The following is a 23321-nucleotide window of genomic DNA, read 5'->3' on the forward strand; positions in this document are numbered from 1 at the left end:
GGAGGCTGAGGCAGCCGGATCACCTGAGGTCAGGAGTTGAGACCTGCCTGGCCAACATGGTGAAACCCCGCCTTTACTAAAATACAAAAATTAACTGGGCATGGTGGTGGGTGGCTGTAATCCCAGCTACTCCGAAGGCTGAGGCAGGAGAATCACTTGCACCCAGGAGGTGGAGGTTGCAGTGAGCCAAGATCGTGTCACTGCACTCCAGCCTGGGTTATAGAGTGAGACTCCATCTCAAAAAATAAAAAAATAAAAAAATAAAAATGAAGGAGAAATCTCGGAATATAGTTGACCCTCTGTGTCCATAACTTCTGCATCCGTGGTTCCGTGGATTCAACCAACCACATATGGAAAATACAGTATTCACAGGATCCGCAGGGCTGACTTTGGGACTTGAGCATCCTTGGATTTTGGTATCCAAGGAGTATCCTGGAACCAATTCCCAGTGGGTACCAAGGGATGACTATAGCAGTAAGTGTAACTCACAGAACTTGAATGGAACAGTTTCTATACATGTGAGTGATAATCACATTGTCACCTTAATGGTTATATGAGCAAGGTGAGGGAATAAATTGGAAAAAGATTTAAGTGAATTCCTGGATATTTGATGATTTCAGATATATAGAGTTAATATAAATTCCAAACAATTTAGGGTCTTCATCAAAGCAAGCCTCTTCTATGTATACTTAGAAAATATTCTTAGGAACTACTGTCCAAGAAAGCATGAATTCTGGTCTAGAAATCTGATCCATCATAACAGCGTTTTCCAAGTTCTGAAGGTAGTGAGATCAATTCAGAGGGTTGTATTAGTCAGCTCAGGCTGCCACAACAGAGTGCCCCAGACTGGGAAGCTTAAACAACAGAAATGTATCCTCATAGTTCTAGAGGCTCCAGCAGAGTTGGGTTCTGGTGAGGCCTCTTCCTGATTTGCAGATGGCAGCCTTCCCACTGTGTCCTCACATAGCCTTTCCTCTGTGTGTGCTGGGGGTGGGGGTGAGAGGAATGGTGGGGGGTATGCAGGGAGAAGGAGAGAGAGATCAGTCGATCTCTGGTGTCTCTTCCTCTTCTTATAAGGAAACCAGTCCTATCATTAGGGCCCCACCTTATAAACTCATTTAACCTTAATTACCTTCTTAAGGGCTTTATCTCCAAATACAGACTTCAAGGTATGAATTTTAGGGGGACACAATTAAGTCCATAACAGAGTCTCACCCAGCAGTCTTAAAATGAAACCAAACAGAATAAACACTATCAGGGTGAGTATTGTTTTGGGAAACTTTTCCAGTTATCCACATAAGGCACGTGTGTTCTGAGGTTGCAGTGCAAGCTGAGTTTCTGTCAGTCACACAGAAGTGTGGAAGCTGGTGCCTTATAGCATTCCCGACATTATAAGAAGTCCACTTTACTTTATCCTGGGGCTGACTGGGAGCCAGACTGAGTTGGAATTGCAGACGATGTCTTGCTGTTGGCTGGTGGCGGAGTTGGTGTCCTCCTCTTCTATCTGGGCTGGTGGAATTCCCCAGCTCTGGATCCCATCCACCGGCGGGTAGCCAGGGTTGGTCACTGCATACAGCACAGCTAAATGAAAGCATTTGGTTCCCCAGGTGATGTGCTGGTGGTCCCCATCAAGCTCCACAAGTGTCCTTTCTGCCCTTACACTGCCAAACAGAAGGGCATCCTCAAGCGGCACATCCGTTCACACACAGGCGAGCGGCCCTACCCCTGTGAGACCTGCGGCAAGAGGTTCACTCGACAAGAGCACCTGCGGAGCCACGCACTGAGTGTAAGTGTTCGAGCTGGCCATGCCCTTGTGGCAAGAGCTATTCATGATATCATCTAATGGAAGGGTGAAGCCAGCCTGTCTTTCATTTCTCTGTCTACTGGGGTATTTTCAGATAATTTCCACGTATGTTTTTACTACTAAATTAAAGCTCAGGTGGTGGCACTTACAGAAAGTTAAAACTTTATATGTTAGAGTTAAGTTTTAACTTCAAGTTAGACTAGTTTTCTAAGGGGAAGAGCCAAGAAAGTTTAGATCCTGATAAGAGGTGATTATTGTAATGTAGAGAACAACAGGGCTCAGACAGGATTGTGGATCTCTTCCTACCAGTGTGATACCAAAGGTAAGCTGCATCCTCAGTTTCCCACCGAGCCCCAGCACCTAGGGGTAAGGGAAGGGTATACTGCCATGTATAGAGCTACCTGTGGGCAGCAGACAAAAAGGGCTCCAGCCCAAGGAGACCCTCCCCTCTAACAAGCTGCCCCCTAGCATTGTCTCCATGTGAGCTGGTGATTCCAACCCGCTGAAAACCATTCAGGCCACTTAGAAAGATGTTATATTTATTTATTTATTTAAACTTTTAGGTTCAGGGGTAAACGAGAAGGTTTGTTACATGGGTAAACTCATGTCACAGGGGTTTGTTGTACAGATTATTTCATCACCCAGGAATTAGTTCTCTTTGCTCCTCTCCCACCTCCCACCCTCCGGTAGACCCCAGTGTCTGCCGTTTCCTTCTTTGTGTTCATAAGTTCTCATCATTTAGCTCCCACTTATAAGTGAGAACATGTTGTATTTGGTTTTCTGTTCCTATGTTAGTTTGCTGAGGATAATAGCCTCCAGCTCTATCCATGTTCCCACAAAACACATGATCTCATTCTTTTTAATGGCTGCAGATGTTGCATTTTATGATCATCTTTTTTTGTTTTGTTTTGTTTGAGACAGAGTCTCACTCTGTCACCCAGGCTGCAGAGATCACAGCTCACTGCAGCCTTGACCTCCCAAGGCACAGGTGATTCTCTCACCTGAGCCCCTACGCAGGTAGCTGGAACTACAGGCACACACCACCATGCCCAGCTAACGTGTTTTTTTGTTGTTGTTGTTTTTTGTTTTTTTGTAGAGACAGGGTTTTTCCAGGTTGCCCAGGCTGGTCTTGAACTCCTGGGCTCAAGCGATCTGCCTGCCTCAGCCTCCCAAAGTGCTGGGATTATAGGCATGAGCCACCATGTGCAGTTATGATTGTCTTTGAGCAAGACAATCAGTGTTTGGGAAATCTAACATACAAATAGTTTGATCTTCAATGGACGCTCTTAAGAATACGAAAACTGGCCGGGCGCAGGGGCTCACACCTGTAATCCCAGCACTTTGGGAGGCTGAGGTGGGCAGATCACAAGATCAAGAGATGGAGACCATCCTGGCCAACATGGTGAAACCCTGTCTCTACTAAAAATACAAAAATTAGCCAGCTGTGGTGGTGTGCATCTGTAGTCCCAGCTACTCAGGAGGCTCAGGCAGGAGAACTGCTTGAACCCGGGAGGTGGAGGTTGCAGTGAGCCAAGATCACACCACTGCACTCCAGCCTGGTAACAGAGTGAGACTCCGTGTCAAAAAAAAAAAAAAAAAAAAAAAGAATACGAAAACCCTCAGAATGGGAGAAAATATTTGCAAGGGATATATCTGATAAGTGTCTAGTATGCAGAATAAAGAACTTTTATAATGCAATAGTAAAAGGATGAATAACTCAATTAAACCTGGGCAAAGGATTTGAATAGATATTTCTCAGGAAAAGATAGACAAATGGCCAATAAGCACATGAAAAGATGCTCAACATCATTACTCATAGGGTAAATGCAAATCAAAGTGAGATGCCACTTCCCACCCACTAGGACTGCGCTAATTGTGGGTGGCTCTCCTGCATCAGCCTCTCCCCGTCTCTGCCTCTTGCTTGCACCCAGAGCTCTCTAGAAGAGAGGCTGTGATTGGTTCACAGAGCCCCTATCGGCTGGAGTTCCTGAAAAGTGTACACATTAAAAAGATAGTTCCTAGGCCCAGCACGGTGGCTCACACCTGTAATCCCAGCACTTTGGGAGGCTGGGGTGGATGGATCATCGGATCATCCGAGGTCAGGAGTTTGAGGTCAGCCTGGCCAGTGTGGCGAAACCCCTTATCTACTAAAAATCCAAAAAAAAAAAAAAAAAAAAAAAAAAAAAAATTAGCCAGGCTTGGTGGCACGCGCCTGTAGTCCCAGCTCCTCAGGAGACTGAGGCAGGAGAATTGCTTGAACCTGGGAGGCGGAGGTTGCAGTGAGCCGAGATCGGGCCACTGCTCTCCAGCTTGGGCAACAGAGCAAGACGGCGTCTCAAAAAAAACAAAACAAAAACAACAACAAAAAAACATAGTTCCCAAAGCAGCTGCTGGCACATCTGAGGAATGTAGCTGTCTACCCTAGCAAATCTGCCTTCCTAATAATTAAACAATCCAAGAGGTGGGGGGATGGGGGAAGGACAGCATTAGGAGAAATACCTAATGTGAATGACGAGTTAATGGGTGCAGCACACCAACATGGCATGTGTATACATATGTAACAAACCTGCATGTTGTGCACATGTACCCTAGAACTTAAAGTATACTTTAATAAAAATAAAAATAAATAAAATGTCAATTACCAAAGGTGTCCAATGAGAGGGAAAAAAAAAACCATGTCAAAAATCCTAATGAGAGTCAGATGCAGTGGCACACACCTATATTCCCAGCTACTTGGGAAACTGAGGCAGGGGGATCACTCGAGCCCAGGAGTTCAAGTCCAGCTTGGGCAACATAGCAAGATAGCAAGACCCCATCTCTAAAAAAAAAAATCCTGGCCAACTATGGTGGCTCACGCTTGAAATCTCAACACCTTACGAGGCCAAGGTGGAAGGATCACTTTAGGCCAGGAGTTCAAGACCAGTCTGGGCAACATAGTGAGACTCCACCTCTACAAGAAATAAAAAATTAGCCAGGCATGATGATATGTGGGCGCCTGTGGTCCCAGCTGCTTGGGAGGCTGGAGGGGGAGGATCGCTTGAGCCCAGGAGTTCAGGGCTTTAGTAAGCTATTATCATGTCACTGCACTCCAGCCTGGGTGACAGAGAAAGACCCTGTCTCTGGAAAAAAAAAAAAAAAATCCCAATCAGTTCACTTTCATTTGAGTGCTTTTTGTATGCCAAGCACTAGGGATATAGTAAGGAATGGGACAGACTCTGTCCCTGCCCTCTTAGAGCTTCCACTCTAGTGACTTTTATGAACAATTTGTGAGAAGTACAACAAAGGAAGAAGTATGGGTGAGAATCGCTAGGTGGAGGCCCTAACTGGCCTAGAGCATCAGGAAAGACCTCCTTCCAAGGTGTTCATAAGGGGTGAAGGGTTGATGATGGGCAGAAGGGAATGTCCCACATGTGTCCGGTGGCTCCGGGGTAGAAAGAACCTTGGTAAGATGAAGACTCATATGGTTTGGATCTCTGTCCCCACTCAAATCTCATGTTGAAATGTAATCCCTAATGCTGGAAGTGGGGCCTGGTGGGAGGTGGTTGCATCATGGGGGCAGTTTCTCATGGTTTAACGCCATCCCTACTTGGTGCTGTCATCGTGATAGTGAGTTTTCATGAGATCTGGTTGTTTGAAAATATGTGTTACCTCCCCCTTCTTTCTCTTCCCCCTGCTCTGGCCATGTGAAGTGCCGGCTCCCCCTTTGTCTTCTGCCACAATTGTAAGTTTCCTGAGGCCTCCCTAGAAGCCAAGCAGATGCCAGCATCATGCTTCCTGTACAGCCTGTGGAACTGTGAGCCAATTAAACCTCTTTTCTTTATAAATTACCCAGTCTCAGGTATTTCTTTATAGCAGTGCAAGAACAGACTAATACAAAGACTGTGGCAGAGAATGCAGGTGGAGTGCTGAAAAAGGAATCGGGAGGATCAGGCAGGGGCCAGATCACACGGGGCCTTGTGGAAAACACTCATCTCCTTTTCTGTGACATCTACTGTGTCTGCTTGTGATTACAGGTCCACAGATCCAACCGTCCAATCATCTGCAAGGGCTGCAGGAGAACATTCACGAGTCACCTGTCCCAGGGGCTGCGGCGCTTCGGGCTGTGTGACAGCTGCACCTGCGTTACAGACACACCCGATGATGATGATGATTTGATGCCCATCAACCTTAGCTTGGTGGAGGCTTCATCTGAAAGCCAAGAAAAGAGCGACACAGACAATGACTGGCCAATCTATGTGGAGTCGGGTGAGGAAAATGACCCTGCTGGAGATGATTCTGATGACAAACCACAAATTCAGCCTAACTTATCAGACCGAGAGACACTTACGTAGCAATAAATTGGTGGGGAAGAGGAGGTTTTAAAACTTGTTAGTGCTCGTTCTGTTGTTGAAAGATACCATTTGTCCAATTTTGTGGAACCCTGAGAGGAACATTTTTTCACTGTTATTATATGTGCATTTTTATTAGACTATCTGATAGAGGTTGGATTTTGTGACTCAAAGGACAGATAACCTTTTTGTGTGGTGCCCTTGGTTTCTGAGGGCTTTGCTGGCCACTCCTTAATTCTGAGTGAGTCAAAGCAGGCCCTGAGGTCTCCTGTTTTTCTTGCTGTGTGTCCAAACTCTGGTTAGGAGAAAGATAAGAAAATCTCCAGGCTTGTTTTTATATTGATTCAGTCCTCTGCATTCCTTTGTTATCATCCTCTTTCTCTAAAAACCATTAAGTTTTGGGATCAAGTTTACCTTTGCCAAGCCTTTCCTAATGAATTCCACATTAAATTTTCTGGCAAAGTATTAAAGAGAAACCTTCATTGATATAAAGCAGGCAGGGCGGTCTGGCTACATGATCATAAAAGGTACTCCCTAAATCTAGAACAATTTTAAAGGCTTGGAATACTTATGGGCAGACGAACATGGGAATGATCTGAAAGGCTCATTATGGCATCCTGACTTGCCCAGTTGAATTAAATTTTAAGTTAGCCCTGAGAAGGGAGGCTATGACCCCAGGTCTGGATGGTTTCCCTGTCTGGTTTGGCATTTGACGATTCTACACATACAACCTGTTCTGTTATCATAAAACAACTCATTTGGGCAAAACTCAAAATGCTCCCCTACTTTTTCCAGCAATTTCCAAAAGCTGGAGCTGTGTAACTTGGAAATGTAGCTGCCTCTGGCATTCTTTTACTTAGTTTATGCTGATGTAGGGCAGGTGAGCCCAAAAATTGGGGCTTAGCCCAGAGGAGTTCTTGGCTTCACCCAGGAAAGAATTCAAGGGCAAGCCAGTGGTGTTAGACAGCAGCTTGTATTGAAGCAGCAGTGCCCAACAGCAGCTAAGGGGCCGCTCCTCGTGGAGCAGGGCTACACCATAGGCAGTGTGCCCAGAGTAGTAGCTCAGAGGCAGGTCGGCACTTATATTTATACCCACTTTTAGTTACATGCAAATTAAGGGGCAGATTATGCAGCAATATTTAGGAAAATGGTGGTAACTTCCAAGCCGCTGGGTGGTTGCCATGATAAGGGGCAGTGACTTCCAGGTGTTGCCATGGCAATGGTAATTGACATGGCACAGTGATAAGTGTTTCTTATGGAAATCTGCTTCCTGCACCACCCTCCCACCACCGCCCTGTTTTAGCTAGTCCTCAATTTGGTCCATGTCCGAGTCCGGCCTTTGGAGTTGAGTCCTGCCTTCTACCTCCTTGCCTAGAACTTTAATTGGAGGGAAAGTATAAGCCCATAATGCCAAGTAACATTTCTAAAATGTTCATCTTTTAAAAGATCTTCATGAGGGAAAGGGAAGGTTAGTAGCAGAACAGGTTTTTAAAAGCAGTCTACCTTTCGCCCACTTTCCAGCCACACAATTATTGTAACAAAAGAGGCTGAACTCTTTAAAGGGCTAAAGGGCAGGCAGTGTTAGGAATTCGGAATGTAATTGAAGGCAATTTCCATAATTTTGTCTTATGTTAAAATATCCAAAATGGATTTTAAAAGAAATCTTCTTGTCTTCCTTTAAGTGTAGTTGTCTTTCAAAAGGTGGTAAAAGTCACTTTTATTTCTACCTCTTGAACAACAAAAAAGTCAAAAACATTATAAATTGGCTTGTAAATGTTAGCCAAAGCATTAGACAGGTGTTTAAGTCGTACTTCTCAATAGTAGTTAAAACTGGAACAGTGCAACTCAAACTCTGGCCCACAGAGAGGCCCTGTTCTGTAAACTGTTTTCTACCAGTCTGCTACAAGGAAAGTCAGAAATTAAGAATACACATATAGAAATGTTGATAACACTTTGACATTGCTGTGACTCATGGCTTTGTCTTCTTGAGTGAGGTATGGACCAGTTCAGTTCTGGTCAGCTAGAGGGCCACATGGTGCAGAGGTTGGATACCAGCCTGTACAGCAGGACCACGTATTGGTCTGCAGTAGAATGGAAAATTTAAAACTTCTCTTATCACAGGTAGTTCGATAAATATCATTCTTGGCTGTGTGCGGTGGCTCACGCCTATAATCCCAGCACTTTGGGAGGCCAAGGCAGATGGAACACTTGAGGTCAGGAGTTCGATACCAGCCTGACCAACATGGCGAAACCCCGTCTCTAGCAAAAATACAAAAATTAGTCAGGAGTGGTGGCATGTGCCTGTAATCCCAGCTACTCAGGAGGCTGTGGCGAGAGGAACACTTGAGCCTGGAAAAGGTTGCAGTGAGCTGGAATCGTGCCACTCCACTCCAGCCTGGGCAACAGTGTGAGACCTTGTCTCAAAAAAATAATAATAAAATAAATAAATAAAAGAAAAATATTCTAGATCAAGAGTTACTCATTGAAAATTATCAGGGACCAGAGATATTTGTCTTATCTGAAATAAAAATACTAGCTGTGGCCAGGCGCAGTGGCTCACGCCTGTAATCCCAACACTTTGGGAGGCCAAGGCAGGTGGATCACCTGAGGTCGGGAGTTCAAGACCAGCCTGGCCAACATGGAGAAACCCCGTCTCTACTAAAAATACAAAATTAGCCAGGCATGGTGGCGCATGCCTGTAATTCCAGCTACTCAGGAGGCTGAAGCAGGAGAATCGCTTGAACCCAGGAGGCGGAGGTTGCTGTGAGCCGACATCACACCACTGCACTCCAGCCTGGGCAACAAGAGCGAAACTGTCTCCAAAAATGTATACATATATTTGCTGTTATTTTAAAAGAGGGATCTCAGCAAAAAGGAAACCTAAATGGATGTGTAGAAGATTTACTTGGCCAGGAACAGTGTTTGATATTTTTGCTTTCTCTGTTTAAATTATCTCTGATGTTTTAATGACTTTTCTACCTCATAGTTCAGCCTCTTTGCCTGCTTTCTCCAGTGGAGCTATGATCCTCTTCAGTGATTCCGTGACCTCTTCATATCCCTGGGTAAAACATTTTACATTAGAGATTTCACTGTAGGACAGTGATTCTCAGTTGGGGGTGATTTCGTGCCTTGCAGGTGGCTACTGGCATCTAGTGGGTAGAGGCCAGGGAAGCTGCCAAACATCCTGAAATGCACAGGACAGTCCCCACAACAATGAATTCTCCAATTCAAAATGTCAGTAATACCAATGTTGAGAAACTCTGCTGTAAGATAAAGTAGGATTTTTTAAAGGATCTTTAATGAGTGGACTTAATTTTGTGTTCTATTTTAAGCTACCTTTTACCTGCATAATATTTATTTATTTTTAATTTTATTTTATGTATTTATTTATTTATTTTGAGATGGAGTTTCATCTTTGTCACCCAGGCTGGAGTGCAATGGCGTGATCTCGGCTCACTGCAACCTCCACCTCCCAGGTTCAAGAGATTCTTCTGTCTCAGCCTCTTGAGTAGTTGGGATTATAGGCACGCGCCACCACGCCTGGCCAATTTTTGTATTTTTAGTAGAAATGGGGTTTCACCATGTTGGCCAGGCTGGTCTTGAACTCCTGACCTCAAGTGATCCGCCTGCCTCAGCCTCCCAAAGTGCTGGGATTACAGGCGTGAGCCACCGTGCCTGGCTGACCTTCATAATATTTAGTAGCCCCTTATACTCTCGCAAATTTTAGAAAATAGTGGATTAGTAAAATGAAGCGCTGAGGCCAGATGGTTCATAGCTTGCCCAAGATCTGATTTAGGTTTATAATGTGGAAACTTAGAAAATTCTGACTCATTCATACACCCAGAATCGTTACTAGGTTCTGATCATTTTGTTAATTTTTAAAGTAGCAGAATCACTGGGAAGAAAACAGAATGTGACACCTAATGTTTAAATGATTCTCTTTCTTTCGTAATATCTCAGATTGTTGCATTTCTGGTGGACTATTTGGAGTTTGTGTATAGGCACTGGCAATAACTGGATCACTGAGTTCTATCACTTTTAAAGGAGATACTTCCTCTGTCTAGACTATCAGATCATAAATTGGTCCCCTTTAGGTGGTCAGTATTTATAATCACAGTGTCTTTGAGGTTTAATTTGTGGGGTTGGTGGTATTTTTATACTAAGTAAATTTACAGTTGAGCCCAACACAGACCGTTAGTGGTTTAGTTTCTATTCTGGCACATTCCACCCAAGTTCACAAAGGGATATTTTCGTCTCATATTAGATGTATTGCATGAATGGGAACAGGACTCTTACTTGTAATGGAATTCCAAAATGGCATTCTTGGGAAGTTATTTCTCTTGGGGGATGAGGACCCCCTTCTCAAAAGTTGAGAAGGAATGTAAATAGGGCCTTACCTATAATAATTAAGAAATGACATAGTGCATCATGATTCTGATCATTTGGCAGAAAGATGCCGTTCTGATGTAAATATTTTGGTGGCCACCAGACTTTGAATATTCCTTAAGGAAGCTGCTGACCTAGTGTTCTGCAACATGTTATGGAATTGAGTATTCTGGTGGTTTGGAATACTGAGATGGGTTTTTTTTGTTATTGTTCATTGATGTCGTGACAAACCCCAGGGAGAGAAAGGCAACAGGTAGGGCTGCATGCACTGATTCTGGGAGCCGTAGGAAAGAGTGGAGTGGCCTTTGGTTAACTGAACTCAGACTGTTTTATTTGGAACTCTAGATTTTTCTTGTGTGTGTCCCTTGTGCATTAAGAGAATGATCTCTGTGAAGTCTAGTGTAATGGGGTAGGGAGGGGCAAAGGGTTGGGATGGGTGAGAAGTTCCTATTATGCTCTGTTTTGAGCATTCCCACTGTGCTTCCTGTTGTTGCTGGTCTCTTGTAGCTTGCCTTGTGTTTTCATGTGATCACACTATCTTCTAACCTGATAAAGGGACACTTTATTCAGGTGCATATGATGGGCACTGTTTTCATTGATTTCTGTTGCTTTTGTAGTTCTCTCCACTCAACAGTACTGTGTTCCACAAACCTTTCATTGTAGTGCTGGAAATTTGAATTCTTTTCTTCAAATGATGTTTCTGTAGAGAAAAACGAAAAGTGTTTTGGGGTCAGAGTAGTTTGGTTGGTTCCTAAACATGTCCTAGTTTTTGTTGTTGTTGTTGTTTTTCTTTTCTTTTTTTTTCTGAGACGGAGTCTCGCTCTGTTGCCCAGGCTGGAGTGCAGTGGCACAATCTCGGCTCACTGCAAGCTCCGCCTCCTGGGTTCATGCCATTCTCCTGCCTCAGCCTCCTGAGTAGCTGGGACTACAGGCACCCGCCACCATGCCCAGCTAATTTTTTGTATTTTTAGTAGAGACGGGGTTTCACCGTGTTAGCCAGGATAGTCTCAATATCCTGACCTTGTGATCCACCCGCCTCGGCCTCCCAAAGTGCTAGGATTACAGGCGTGAGCCACCGCGCCCGGCCTAAATATATCCTAGTTTTAAAAGGTGACAGTAACTCACATGACTGCATGATCGGATGACATGGAAACTTCATAACTGAAGGAGAACATTTAGCATCCGTCTTGACCCTCCAGGTAGATTATTTTACTACTGCCAATTCTTCATTGACAATTGTGGTTTTAGGGGGGGCAATTTTTATATCCATCATTTGATTTCTGGACCTTTGTCAGTTAATCAGTGGAGGTTAGGGCAGGGATTATGTGCTTTGATGAGGAAGGTTTAGTAGTAACAAGCTTGGGGATTTTGAAGGAAGGCATCAATTTCATATACAGGTCTTGGTGACATGTAATGGATATGGATTATCTGTCATGCATACAGTGAAGGGTATGGTCAGGATTTTTTTGGAAGTAGAAAAACATACCAAACAGTTTCACATCTTTTACCATCCATAGCCCCTGAGGAGCATCTACTGCCATCAGAAAAACATGCAAATAATACTGCAGTGCCCTCCAAGGGTCTTAGGCCCAACTGAAGGTTTAGAAACATTCAAATTTATAAACTGCCACACTTGGCATCAGATTCACTTAAAAGGATATAGAATGGGAAGCACTGCTTACTAGCAAGGCAGAACCAGTTGCTCTTCTCTGAAAGTCTCTGCAGCTGTCTGTGTGGCATAGTGCAGGTGCAAGGAGACAGATCTACATGGGGCAAGTATGGAAGCTTCCCCGGCTTAAGAGCCCCTTGTCCCACAGGAACAAGTATCTCTTATAACAGCTTCATAGACATGGCCTCCAGTGTCCCTATAAAAGACATGCCTGTTCCAAGCGTCACTGTACTTAGGGATGCCCAGAGCTGAGGCTTCCTATCAGGCATTTATAGTTCTCCCAGTCCAGATGCAGTTTACCAATTGGGCATCATGTCTACCATATGTAACATTGCCTAGCAGTTGACATATGAATTTTTATTAGGTTGCCAGGGGAACAGAGCTAGAAAGTTAACAAAGGTAAAATTCTCATGCAGAAGGGAAAGAGGCTTTGTTAATACTTTGCCAAACACTATGCTAAGCAATTGCATAACAGATATTACACCTAATTCCTATAGAATATAGCCAGAGGAATTTCCTAGTAAAATATAACCCACCCTAACTCATTTTTCCTTTCTTGAATAGTGTTGTTGGTGCTTAGTTGCTTGTGATTAATAGACAGTTTGCAAATTTTGGTAAGGTGTGTGTAAGAGTTGGCTTAACAGTCAAAATGATCCTAGCCAAAATATCATGTATCCTTTGGTGTCACTCATAATAGGTGAGTATAGTATGTCGTACTGTAGGGACATTATTGAATGGACATGTCTGAGTATTCCATCAGTCATATTTTGATGGGAGCCTTTGGCCATCTGGCAAACACCAAACACAGGCTCTTGGTAACCGTGCCTTTTTTTTTTTTTTTTTTTTTTTAAAGATGGAGTTTCACTCTTGTTGCCAGGCTGGAGTGCAGTGGTGCAATCTCGGCTCACCACAACCTCCGCCTCCTGGATTGAAGCGATTCTCCTGTCTCAGCCTCCTGAGTAGCTGGGATTACAGGCGCCCGCCACCACGCCCGGCTAATTTTTGTATTTTTAGTAGAGATAGGGTTTCACCATGTTGGTCAGGCTGATCTCGGCCTGACCTCAGGCAATCCGCCTCTGCCTCCCAAAGTGCTGGGATTACAGGCGTGAGTCACTGCGTCCGGCCTGCTCTTGGAAACCGTGCCTCTTATTCCTGTGTCATGTGGTGCTACTCTTGCCTGCTTCTGTTGCTCCCAGCAGATCAATGAGTGAAGATGGCTGGTTACTCATTCAGTAGTTATCAAACAATTATTTATGGAGTCTTTACTGTATGTCAAGCACGAAGGGTACTTCAGTGAACCAGCACCATCCCTGCCCTCAAGGATCCTGCAGTGTGTAATCACAGAGACTGGCAGTTATAACACGGCATGTTGGGTGTGACAACAGGGACAAGCACAGGGTACTCTGAGAACGCGTGGGTCGGGTACCTAGCCAGTCATAGAGCCTCAGAGACGCTTTCTGTCTAAGCTACTCTTCCTATCCAGTAAACTTCCAGCTTTGGCATACTATATTTATAAGCAGTTTAAACAGTTGCTGAAATTTATTGCCTTTTCTCAAACATGGTGGCTTTGGTCACTAACAGTGTTTAAATTATGTGTTTTATTCAGTTATGCAAAAATATATACTATACATAGAATATCAGAATGTTGTAGTCTTTAGGAAATATGCATCAGGTTTGTTTTTTTTGTTTTTTTGACAGACTCTCACTCTGTCGCCAGGCTGGAGTGCAGTGGCGCGATCTTGGCTCACTGCAACCTCCGTATCCCAGGTTCAAGTGATTCCCCTGCCTCAGCCTCCCGAGTAGCTGGCACTACAGGCGTGTGCCACCACGCCCAGCTAATTTTTTGTATTTTATAAGAGATGGCGTGTCACCATGTTGACCAGGATGGTCTTGATCTCCTGACCTCGTGATCTGCCTGCCTCAGCCTCCCAAAGTGCTGGGATTACAGGCGTGAGCCACTGTGCCTGACTGGGTGGTTTTCTTTTTTAAAAAATAATATGGTTTTCTGGCCGGGAGCAGTGGCTCATGCCTGTAATCCCAGCACTTTGGGAGGTCAACGGGGGTGGATCACCTGAGGTCAGGAGTTAAAGACCAGCCTGGCCAACATGGTGAAACTCCGTCTCTACTAAAAATACAAAACAGGAGAATCGCTTGAACTCGGGAGGTAGAGGTTGCAGTGAGCTGAGATAATGCCACTGCACTCCAGCCTGGGCGACGGAGTGAGACTCCATCTCAAAAAAATAAAAAATAATAATAATATGGTTTTCTTATTTAAAAAATAATATAGTATGTAAATTATTTTTCAAGTAAAAATGAAATGACAACAACAGATAACTTCCCATTATGTTGATCCAGTGTACTGTGACAGATGGGGAGGAGCCCCACTGCATCTGGAGTGGGTCTTGGCTGGCCATGTGAACTAATTAATACCCCAGAAATCAGGATACATGCCAGGCGTCGGGGCTTACGCCTGTAATCCCAGCATTTTGGGAGGCTAAGGTGGGTGGATCCCTTGAGGTCAGGAGTTTGAGACCAGCCTGACCAACATGGTGAAACCCCATCTCTACTAAAAATATACAAAATTAGCCTGTAATTCCAGCTACTTGGGAAGCTGAGGAAGGAGAATTGCTTGAGCCCAGGAGGTGGAGGTTGCAGTGAGCTGAGATCACACCACTGCACTTCAGCCTGGGCAACGAGAGCAAAACTCCATCTCAAAAAAAAAAAAAAAAAAAAAAAAGAAATCAGGATACATATAGGACAGAACCATTAAATCAAGAGATTTGAAAGTTAGAAGGGACAGGAGAGATAGTCTAGTCCAACTCCATGTGACAGATGAAATGACGTTTCTAGTTCTCACACAGCTGGTTAGGATCAGAAACCAGGTCCTGCCAGGCCAGTCCTGATAATAGACAGACATGTTTGGGCAGGCAGAAAAGACCATTCATAGATAACATTTGTTTCCCTGGGTATCCATCAGACCAGAGGCACAGGAGAGGAAAATGCTGTTTTGGCCTCATATGATAAAGTATGCATTGTGTGATTATGGTCTGCATTCTTGCAATGCTTAGACAGGGAGGGGGAAATCACATTTTGAGCATGGGGGAGTTAATTTCTTTGTCCTGTAATACCACACATATCTAAAACATAAACCACCATGGAACACACTCACACTCACATACACACAAAAGGCAAATTAAAATATTTATTGTCCACTTAATATGTGTTCTGTGTTTGATTGTAATGTATTCATTTTACTTATAAAAAATTTCAAAAGTAAAAATATATATATTATTAACTTGAAGTGATTTTTTCCAACCTCGCTGATTTTTTTCCTTCTTTCTTTTTTGAGACAGAGTTCCACTCTGTCACCCAGGCTGGAGTGCAGTGGTGCAATCTCGGCCCACTGCAATCTCCGCCTCCAGAGTTCAAAGAGTTCTCATGCCTCAGCCTCCTGAGTAGCTGGGATTACAGAGGTATGCCACCATGCCCGGCTAATTTTTGTATTTTTAGAAGAGATGGGGTTTCATTTTGGTCAGGCTGGTCTCGAACTCCTAACCTCAGGTGATACACCCGCCTCAGCCTTCCAAAGTGCTGAGATTACAGGTGTGAGCCACCATGTCCGGCCTCTAACTGATTTTTGAAATATAAATTGGGTGTGATTCAGGGAATGTAACAAGAACAATCTTATTTGAAACAGAAAACCACATATTTTTAAGTCAGCAGCCCACATGATAAGATGGTATTGAGTAAAAATGTATTCTTAGGTATTTCTTGACTCAGTGGATTTTAATCAGTCTACTGCAAAAGCTAGTTTTATTTAAAGGGCTGCAATTATATATAAGAATTATTAGAAAAACAGATTAGCCACTTAATCTAAAAATACCTAGATGCAGTATTCCTGGTTTTTAATGAAATATTTATCTAGTTTGGGATTAAAATTAACTTAGGGCCATCAAAAATGCAAATTATCTTTAATTTGGTTAAATCAACCTGGGAGTAAATGGAAATAATCTCAAGCTAAATTTTTGTTTTGATTTATATACAGTCAGATTGAAACACCCTAGTTACAAGTTTAGAATAGGAGTGGCCTCAACAAAGGAAAAAGTCCTTTGTTCCTCTGTTGCTCATTTTGTCCTCGGAAACAAATACAATTTAACTATTTTCTGTACCGTCCCAAATTTGAAGCTGACCTGAATTTGGTACCTATAAATTTAAAATGGCTAAGGTTAAAATAGTTAAAACAGTTTCTTTAGAATGAGTTGTTAGCTGGGTGTGGTAGTGTACACCTGTAGTCCCAGCTACTCCAAAGGCTGAGGCAGGAGGATTGCTTGAGCCCAGAAGTTCAAAGCTGCAGTGAACTAGGATCATGTCACCACACTCCAGCGTGGGCAACAGAATGAGACCCTGTCTCAAAAAAAAAGGTTTTTTTTTAATTGAATGAATGCAATAAGGAATTGAGGATCGTCTCACATTAATGAGTGAATAACCCTTCATAATTTTAGTTACTGTTTTTCTCAGGGCAATTATTTTATATAAAATTCTAATGGAGAATTTTATGGACAAGATTTTAGTTAAGGAAAAAAATAACCCCACAAAATAAAGAGAACTATTAGAGCTCTAAACAGAAGAAGCTTCCATCAAACCGTTTTTCCCACTTTTTTGTCCCACGGTCTTAGGACCAACAATTTAGTAATACGAGACAATTTCTGGCAGACTATCCCAAGCTGGGACATTTTAGATTCTGTGAAAGAAGACTGACTACTGTCTGATGAATGGGTAATTGATGATGCAATGTATGAAAAAAGTAAGGCAGACAACTCAAAAATCACAGGAAGTGCAGCCATTCTACGTGCCGAGCTCTACAGTTACACACTGTCCAACAGCTCTCGGAAGAAAAACAGAAACTGACTTTATCTTTGCCTGCCAAGTTTGCAAATGGATTAGTTCATTACAAAGGCACTTGTCAAAACATATTTATTAAAAAGAGGAGCCAGAGTTGGAAATCATCTTGACCATTAAAAAAATAGCAACTGATACCTTGTTTAACAAGTAAGACAGTTTCTGCTTTTTGGAATTGAATTGGTTTTTAAGTGGTAATGTACCAGGTCTGTTTATATAGGTCAGTGTTGCCCAGGTTGTATTGTTTTGCTGTTTTTACTTTTTTATATATAAAGAACTAAAATTACGAGAGAATAAATTCGTGGATATAATCTAAATCTGATTTCTCCTTTCAGTTGTTTGGCATTCCATTTTTTATATAAATCTTTAAGACATATGTGCATATTTTTATTTTAAAAATTATTTCTGCTTAAACAACAGTTTCAAATATTTCTCTTTTGAAGACAAAATTGGTTTAGTTTCAGCAATGTATTGATATAATTTTACATTTTTTTAAATGTTGAGGCTGGGTTTATTTAAGATTAGCTGGGCTCGCTGCCTGCTCTTAAGAAAAACATGTATAGCCTATAAATTTTTAAAGGATTCCCATAATAATATAGAACTGCTAACACTAAATATGTTTCCATCTGTTTAAAGACTCATTAACTTCATTTAGTAATAGGAAAAAAAGCTACTAGGTAGAACAGGGGTTAGGCTAAATCCTGCTTGCTGCCTGTTTTTTTGGTAAATAAAGTTATATTGGAAGACAGGCACATCCATTCCTTTTTGTCATTGTTTATGCCATCAATGACAAAGGTGAGTGGTTGCTACAGACACCTTTATCCACAAAGCCTAACATATTTACTATCTGGCCCTTCACAGAGAATTGCCTACCTATGATGTTGGGTGGGACAGGAGATCTTTTATTCCTTATGTAGGGATGATGGAGGTAGAATAAGTCCCTACTTTGGACCAATCTGTGAGCATCACTAGGATTTAAACATGTCTGGTATGTATGAAGGTCAGTGGAGCGGGCACCGCTGATCTGTATGAAGTTTTTTTAGAGAAGTCACTAGAAGGATCTGGCCAGGAGAAAGATGGTCACTTGGCTCAGCTCCAAGGAAGTATGCCTAAGCCTTCCGTTTGAGAGCTACATGCAGAAACTGAGCATGATCTATAATCTTGGTGAGATGCTAGGAGTTCAAACTGTACTGCTTTTTTTTTTTTTATTTAAATACTGCTGCAATGCTTTAAACACCTGATGCCAGGTAGGAGGGCAGGGGCATTGCCCTGCACTTCCGCAATACTGCATGTCCTCAGGGTGTTCTCAGTACAGGTGTGGCCCAGGCAGGAGCAAGAGAGGTTGAGTCCCTGCTGGATGGGCTCTAAGGGTTAACACTAGAGGCAGCTGGGATTTCAGTTTTCCTGACACCTACAATTCAGCACCAAACCTCACAGAGGGAATCCAGATAACCTGTCTTGGTTAGGGCACATTTGGCTTCAAAGAACAGACACTCAAACAAGCTTAAAGCAATGATTCGTAAAGTGTGGTCTCGGAACCAGCAGGATCGGCATCATCTAGGGAGATTCTGATGCAAACTAAAGTTTGAGAATAGGCTGGACACAGTGGCTCACGCCTGAATCCCAGCACTTTGGGAAGGCCGAGGCAGGCTGATCACATGAGCTCACCAGTTCAAGACCAGCCTGGACAACATGGTGAAACCCAGCCTCTACAAAAAATACAAAAATTAGCTGGGTGTGGTGGCATGTGCCTGTAGTCACAGCTACTCTGGAGGCTGAGGTGGGAGGCTCACTTGAGCCCAAGAAATCGAGGCTGCAGTGAGCCATGATTGCACCACCACACTCTAGCCTGGACAACAAAGTGAGACCCTGTCTCAAAAACTAAAAACAAGGCCGGGCATGGTGGCTCACGCCTGTAATCCCAGCACTTTGGGAGGCCGAGGCAGGTGGATCACCTGAGATCAGGAGTTCCAGACCAGCCTGGCTAACCTGGTGAAACCTCGTCTCTATTAAAAATACAAAAAAATTAGCTGAGCGTGGTGGCGGGAGCCTGTAATCCCAGGTACTTGGGAGGCTGAGGCAGGAGAATCACTTGAACCCAGGAGGCAGAGGTTGCAGTGAGCCGGGATTGTGCCATTGTACTCCAGCCTGGACAACAGAGCGAGACTCAGTCTCACAAAAAAGAAATAAAAATAAAAAAGTTTTGAGAATAGTTTTTATTTTTTATTTTATTTTTTTGAGACAGGATCTCGCTCTGTCACCCAGGCTGGAGTGCAGTGGCATGATCTTGGCTCACTGCAACCTCTGCCTCCTGGGTTCAAGTGATTCTCCTGCCTCAGCCTCCTGCATAGCTGGGATTACAGGCGCCTGCCACCATGCCCGGCTGATTTTTGTATTTTTAGTAGAGACAGGGTTTTGCCAAGTTGGCCAGGATGGTTTCGAACTCCTGGCCGCAAGCGATCCACCTGCTTTGGCCATACAAACTGCTGGGATTACAGGCATAAGCCACCACGCCCGACCGAGAATAGTTTTAAGAGGATTTGTTTCTAATTAAAGTGAGTGACTTTACGATCATTCTGGGAGAGGAAATCAGCAGATCACCTGGAATTGGAAAGCAGGGCTGAGGCTGCTCCTGGTCAGTCATGTGCCTTGCCCATGTTTCCTGTACACTTCTCTTTGTGCCTGTGTGGGGTCCCCGGCTACTCTCAGAAGACCACCTTTCTCCTGCCCATTCCTCAGCTCAAAAGTGCTGCCCAGCCCTGACCTAACCACTGTCCTGTCCTTCAGTCCAAATCTTCCAAAGGAAAACACCTCAGTTTCTGCCCAGCAAAAGATCGGTTCCCTCAGATCACATGGCACCCCTTGGGTCAGGAAGCATGAGGCTCTGACTAAGGATGAGTGGTGGTCATGGGGACAGGTCCCCTGAGAAGGGGCCCTGGAGAGGGGCAGGAAAGTTGACCTACATGTCTCCTAAATAAATAAAATCATGGCTGGCAGGAAATTTGAGAGGAATGCACATGATATACTTCCAGGAGCTCCCAGAATTAATGGGGGAAAAAACTGCAGGTGGCTGTAGAGTTTTCCATTAGAAGGAGAGTAAAGTGTATTTAGTTATTTGAAAACAGGTGTTCAAACTGAAACTTGTACACAAAGGTTCATAGCAGCTCTGTTCACAATAGCCTAAAGGTGGAAATACCCAAATGTTCATCAACTAATGAACAAAAATGTCACACACACACATGCGCGCACACACACAGGTGGAATATTATTCATCCATTAAAAGGAAGTTCTGATGCCTGCTACAACATGGAGGAACCTTTGAAACATTGCTTCAGGTGAGAGAAGCCAGTCACAAAGGACCACATATTGTTTGATTCCATTTATACGAAATATCCTGGCCGGGCGCGGTGGCTCACGCCTGTAATCCCAACACTTTGGGAGGCCGAAGCGGGCGGATCACAAGGTCAGGAGTTCGAGACCAGCCTGGACAGCAATAGTGAAACCCCATCTCTACTAAAAATACAAAAAATTAGCCGGGCCTGGTGGCAGGCGCCTGTAATCCCAGCTACTCGGGAGGCTGAGGCAGGAGAATGGCGTGAACCCGGGAGGCGGAGCTTGCAGTGAGCCGAGATTGCGCCATTGCACTCCAACCTGGGCAACAGAGAGAGACTCCGTCAAAAAAAAAAAAAAAAAAAAAAAAGGAAGGAAGGAACGGAAGGGAGGAAGGGAGAGAAAAAGATCCTGAATAGGCAAATCCGTGGAGACAAAAAGTCCAGTGGCGGTTGGTGGAGGCTGAGGGAAGGAGGGAATGGGGAATGACTTGAGTGCTCATGGTGCCGGTGCCTTTGGGGCGATGAGAAAGTTTTGGAACTAGATAGTACTGATGGTTGCACGCCATGAATATCTTTAATGTCCCTAAGTTGCATTTTTAAATGATATTGTTATGTATTTTACAATTTTAAAATAATCTAATTATTGTTCTTGGGACGCCCGTAGGTCCCCTTGGCAGGAGGGGTGGAGGGGGAATGATTGCCGCTGCGCGCAGCGCGGGCAGAGGGCGAGAGGGCGAGAGGGCGGGAGGGCGTCGGGGCTGCCCCGGACCTGCAACCAGCCTGGTAGCGGGCGGCGGCGGCGGCGGCGTTGGGATGCGGGCCACGGGCGTGCGGCCCTCAGCCGTCTCCCGGCCGAGAGCGAGGCCGGAGGCGCCAAGCCGAGCGGGCGCCATTTGCAGCCTGGGGCGCAGCAGCTGCAGCGCTGTCTCCGAGGGGTTGGGAACGGCCAAGGAGGAGGCGCGGGCGGCGGCGGTGGGCGTTGGCGGGCACCGGCTCCCGGCCGTCCCTCCCCGCGCCCGGCCGGCCGGCCTCTCCTGCGCGCCCGGAAGGGGCTGCGGAACAATGGCCGCGCCGCTGTCGCCGCCCGGCCCGGCCCGGGGAAAGCCGGGAAGGCGCGCGGAGCCTCCTGGCGGCGGCGGCGGCGGCGGCGGGAAGGCGGCGGGGACGGCGTCGGGCGTGTCTGGAGCCGTCCGGCGCGGCGGACTCCGGGGAGGCTTGGTCTGCGCCGCGCAGAGACAGCAGCCGCCGGGGGCGGGGCGCGAGCCAGCGAATTTGCAGAACTTCCCTCAATTGGGCTTTGTCTGTCTCATCTCGACTGGATTCAGGTTCTTTATCCTAGACAGGACTGTCACAGAAGGGCTGCTGCGGTCTTCTCAACGCAGCACGTCTAGTGGCACACAATTTCAGCTTGTCAATTTGTCTCATCACTGATGATGCTCACTTTTATCTTTAAGATGCTGTCTGTAGGCTTCTCCGCTGTAAGGTCACACTCACTTGGCAGTTATAATAACAGTATTTTGTAGGGTGGTACTTTGAATTTTCATGAATCACCATTTCTCATCAAACCTTTTAAACCTTATTTTTATTTTTGGGACAAAGTCTCGCTCTGGCACCTAGGCTGGAGTGTAGTGGTGCGATCACCGTTCACTGCAGCCTCAACCTCCCGGATTCAACCAGTCCTCCCACTTCTGTCCCCCGAGTAGCTGGGACTACAGGCGTGTGCCGCCGGCTTTGGCCTCCCAAAGGGCTGGGATTACTGGTGTGAGCCACCGTACCCGGCCCATTTATTTTTTTTTTCATACATATGGACACATGGTTTCCTTTTTTTTTTTCTTTTTTAGCTGATGGGGAGTTCTACTATATTGCCCAGGCTGGTCTCGAAGTCCTGGGCTGCTGCCTTAGCCTCTGGCATAACTTGGCATTGTAGGCGCACCACTGGGCCTGGCTGTTAGGTTATAATCTGTTGCTGTCATTTATTTTATTTTATTTTTATTTTTTGAGATGGAGTCTCACTCTGTTGCCCAGGCTGGAGTGCAGTGGCACGATCTCAGCTCACTCCAACCTCCACCTCCTGGGTTCAAGGGGTTCTCCTGCCTCAGCCTCCTGAGTAGCTGGGGTTACAGACGTGCGTCACCATGCCCAGCTAATTTTTGTATTTCTAATAGAGACGGAGTTTCACCATGTTGGCCAGGCTTGTCTCGAACTCCCGACCTCAGGTTATCCATCCTCCTTGGCCTCTCAAAGTGCTGGAATTACAGGTGTGAGCCGCGGCGCCCGGCCGCTGTCATTTATTTTAATGTTCAAATTGTCCCAGGTTTGGCCAGTGAAAGCCTGTTCAAGCCAGCTTGTGTGTTCATTTGGCATGTCCCTATTGTTCTTTGAATACTTCCTTCCTTCCGGCACAAGATGTTCCAGGCTCATCTTGTACTTTCTCCCTGCCCCAGCCCTGGAATCAGATACTTCTCCAGGGACTCCTGGTTCTGTTTACTGGAGAGCAGTTATTTACAAACCAAGATCCAGATACTGGGTGTTTTCATTGTGTTTGAAGTGGTGCTGCTTTCAGGCCTTCACACTGGACATTTTCTGAGAGAGAGTGAAACTCCAATTCCAATCCAACACCATAGAATTCACTCTTCTTTTCTTCCTCTCCATGATGTTTGGTCTATTCTACTGTGAAGGTGAACACTACCACATTTATTCTTTCAAAAACAGTTTATTCCCATCCTTACAGTAAAATATTTCAGTAAAATTGAAACAAAAAGGAATAAAAATCAACCATAATCTCAGTATAAAAATAACATTTTGGGGCCGGGTGCGGTGGCTCACACCTGTAATCCCAGCACTTTGGGAGGCCGAGGCGCACGGATCACGAAGTCAGGAGATCGAGACCATCCTGGCTAACA

The 23321-nt window shown here is 44.8% G+C and overlaps 1 protein-coding gene across 1 annotated transcript in view, besides 2 other annotated features; it reads left to right on the forward strand.

Moving 5' to 3' along the window:
- Nucleotides 1–17403, forward strand: part of ZBTB8B (zinc finger and BTB domain containing 8B) — a 31615-nt gene extending 14212 nt beyond the window's left edge. Inside the window, exons 3-4 of the mRNA NM_001145720.2 lie at nt 1608–1786; nt 5818–17403. Of these exons, the coding sequence (NP_001139192.1) occupies nt 1608–1786; nt 5818–6135 (497 nt within the window). The 3' untranslated portion in view covers nt 6136–17403. The remainder of the gene's footprint in view (nt 1–1607; nt 1787–5817) is intronic.
- Nucleotides 21133–21262: a silencer, noted in NCBI's record as "silent region_599". NCBI's record gives its function as "represses an Ori minimal core promoter by ATAC-STARR-seq in GM12878 lymphoblastoid cells {active_cell/tissue: GM12878}" and the evidence as "EXISTENCE:reporter gene assay evidence [ECO:0000049][PMID:35858748]".
- Nucleotides 21353–21622: a silencer, noted in NCBI's record as "silent region_600". NCBI's record gives its function as "represses an Ori minimal core promoter by ATAC-STARR-seq in GM12878 lymphoblastoid cells {active_cell/tissue: GM12878}" and the evidence as "EXISTENCE:reporter gene assay evidence [ECO:0000049][PMID:35858748]".

This window comes from Homo sapiens, chromosome 1, assembly GCF_000001405.40.
Source record: "Homo sapiens chromosome 1, GRCh38.p14 Primary Assembly".
In the NCBI taxonomy this organism is placed as follows: domain Eukaryota; kingdom Metazoa; phylum Chordata; class Mammalia; order Primates; family Hominidae; genus Homo; species Homo sapiens.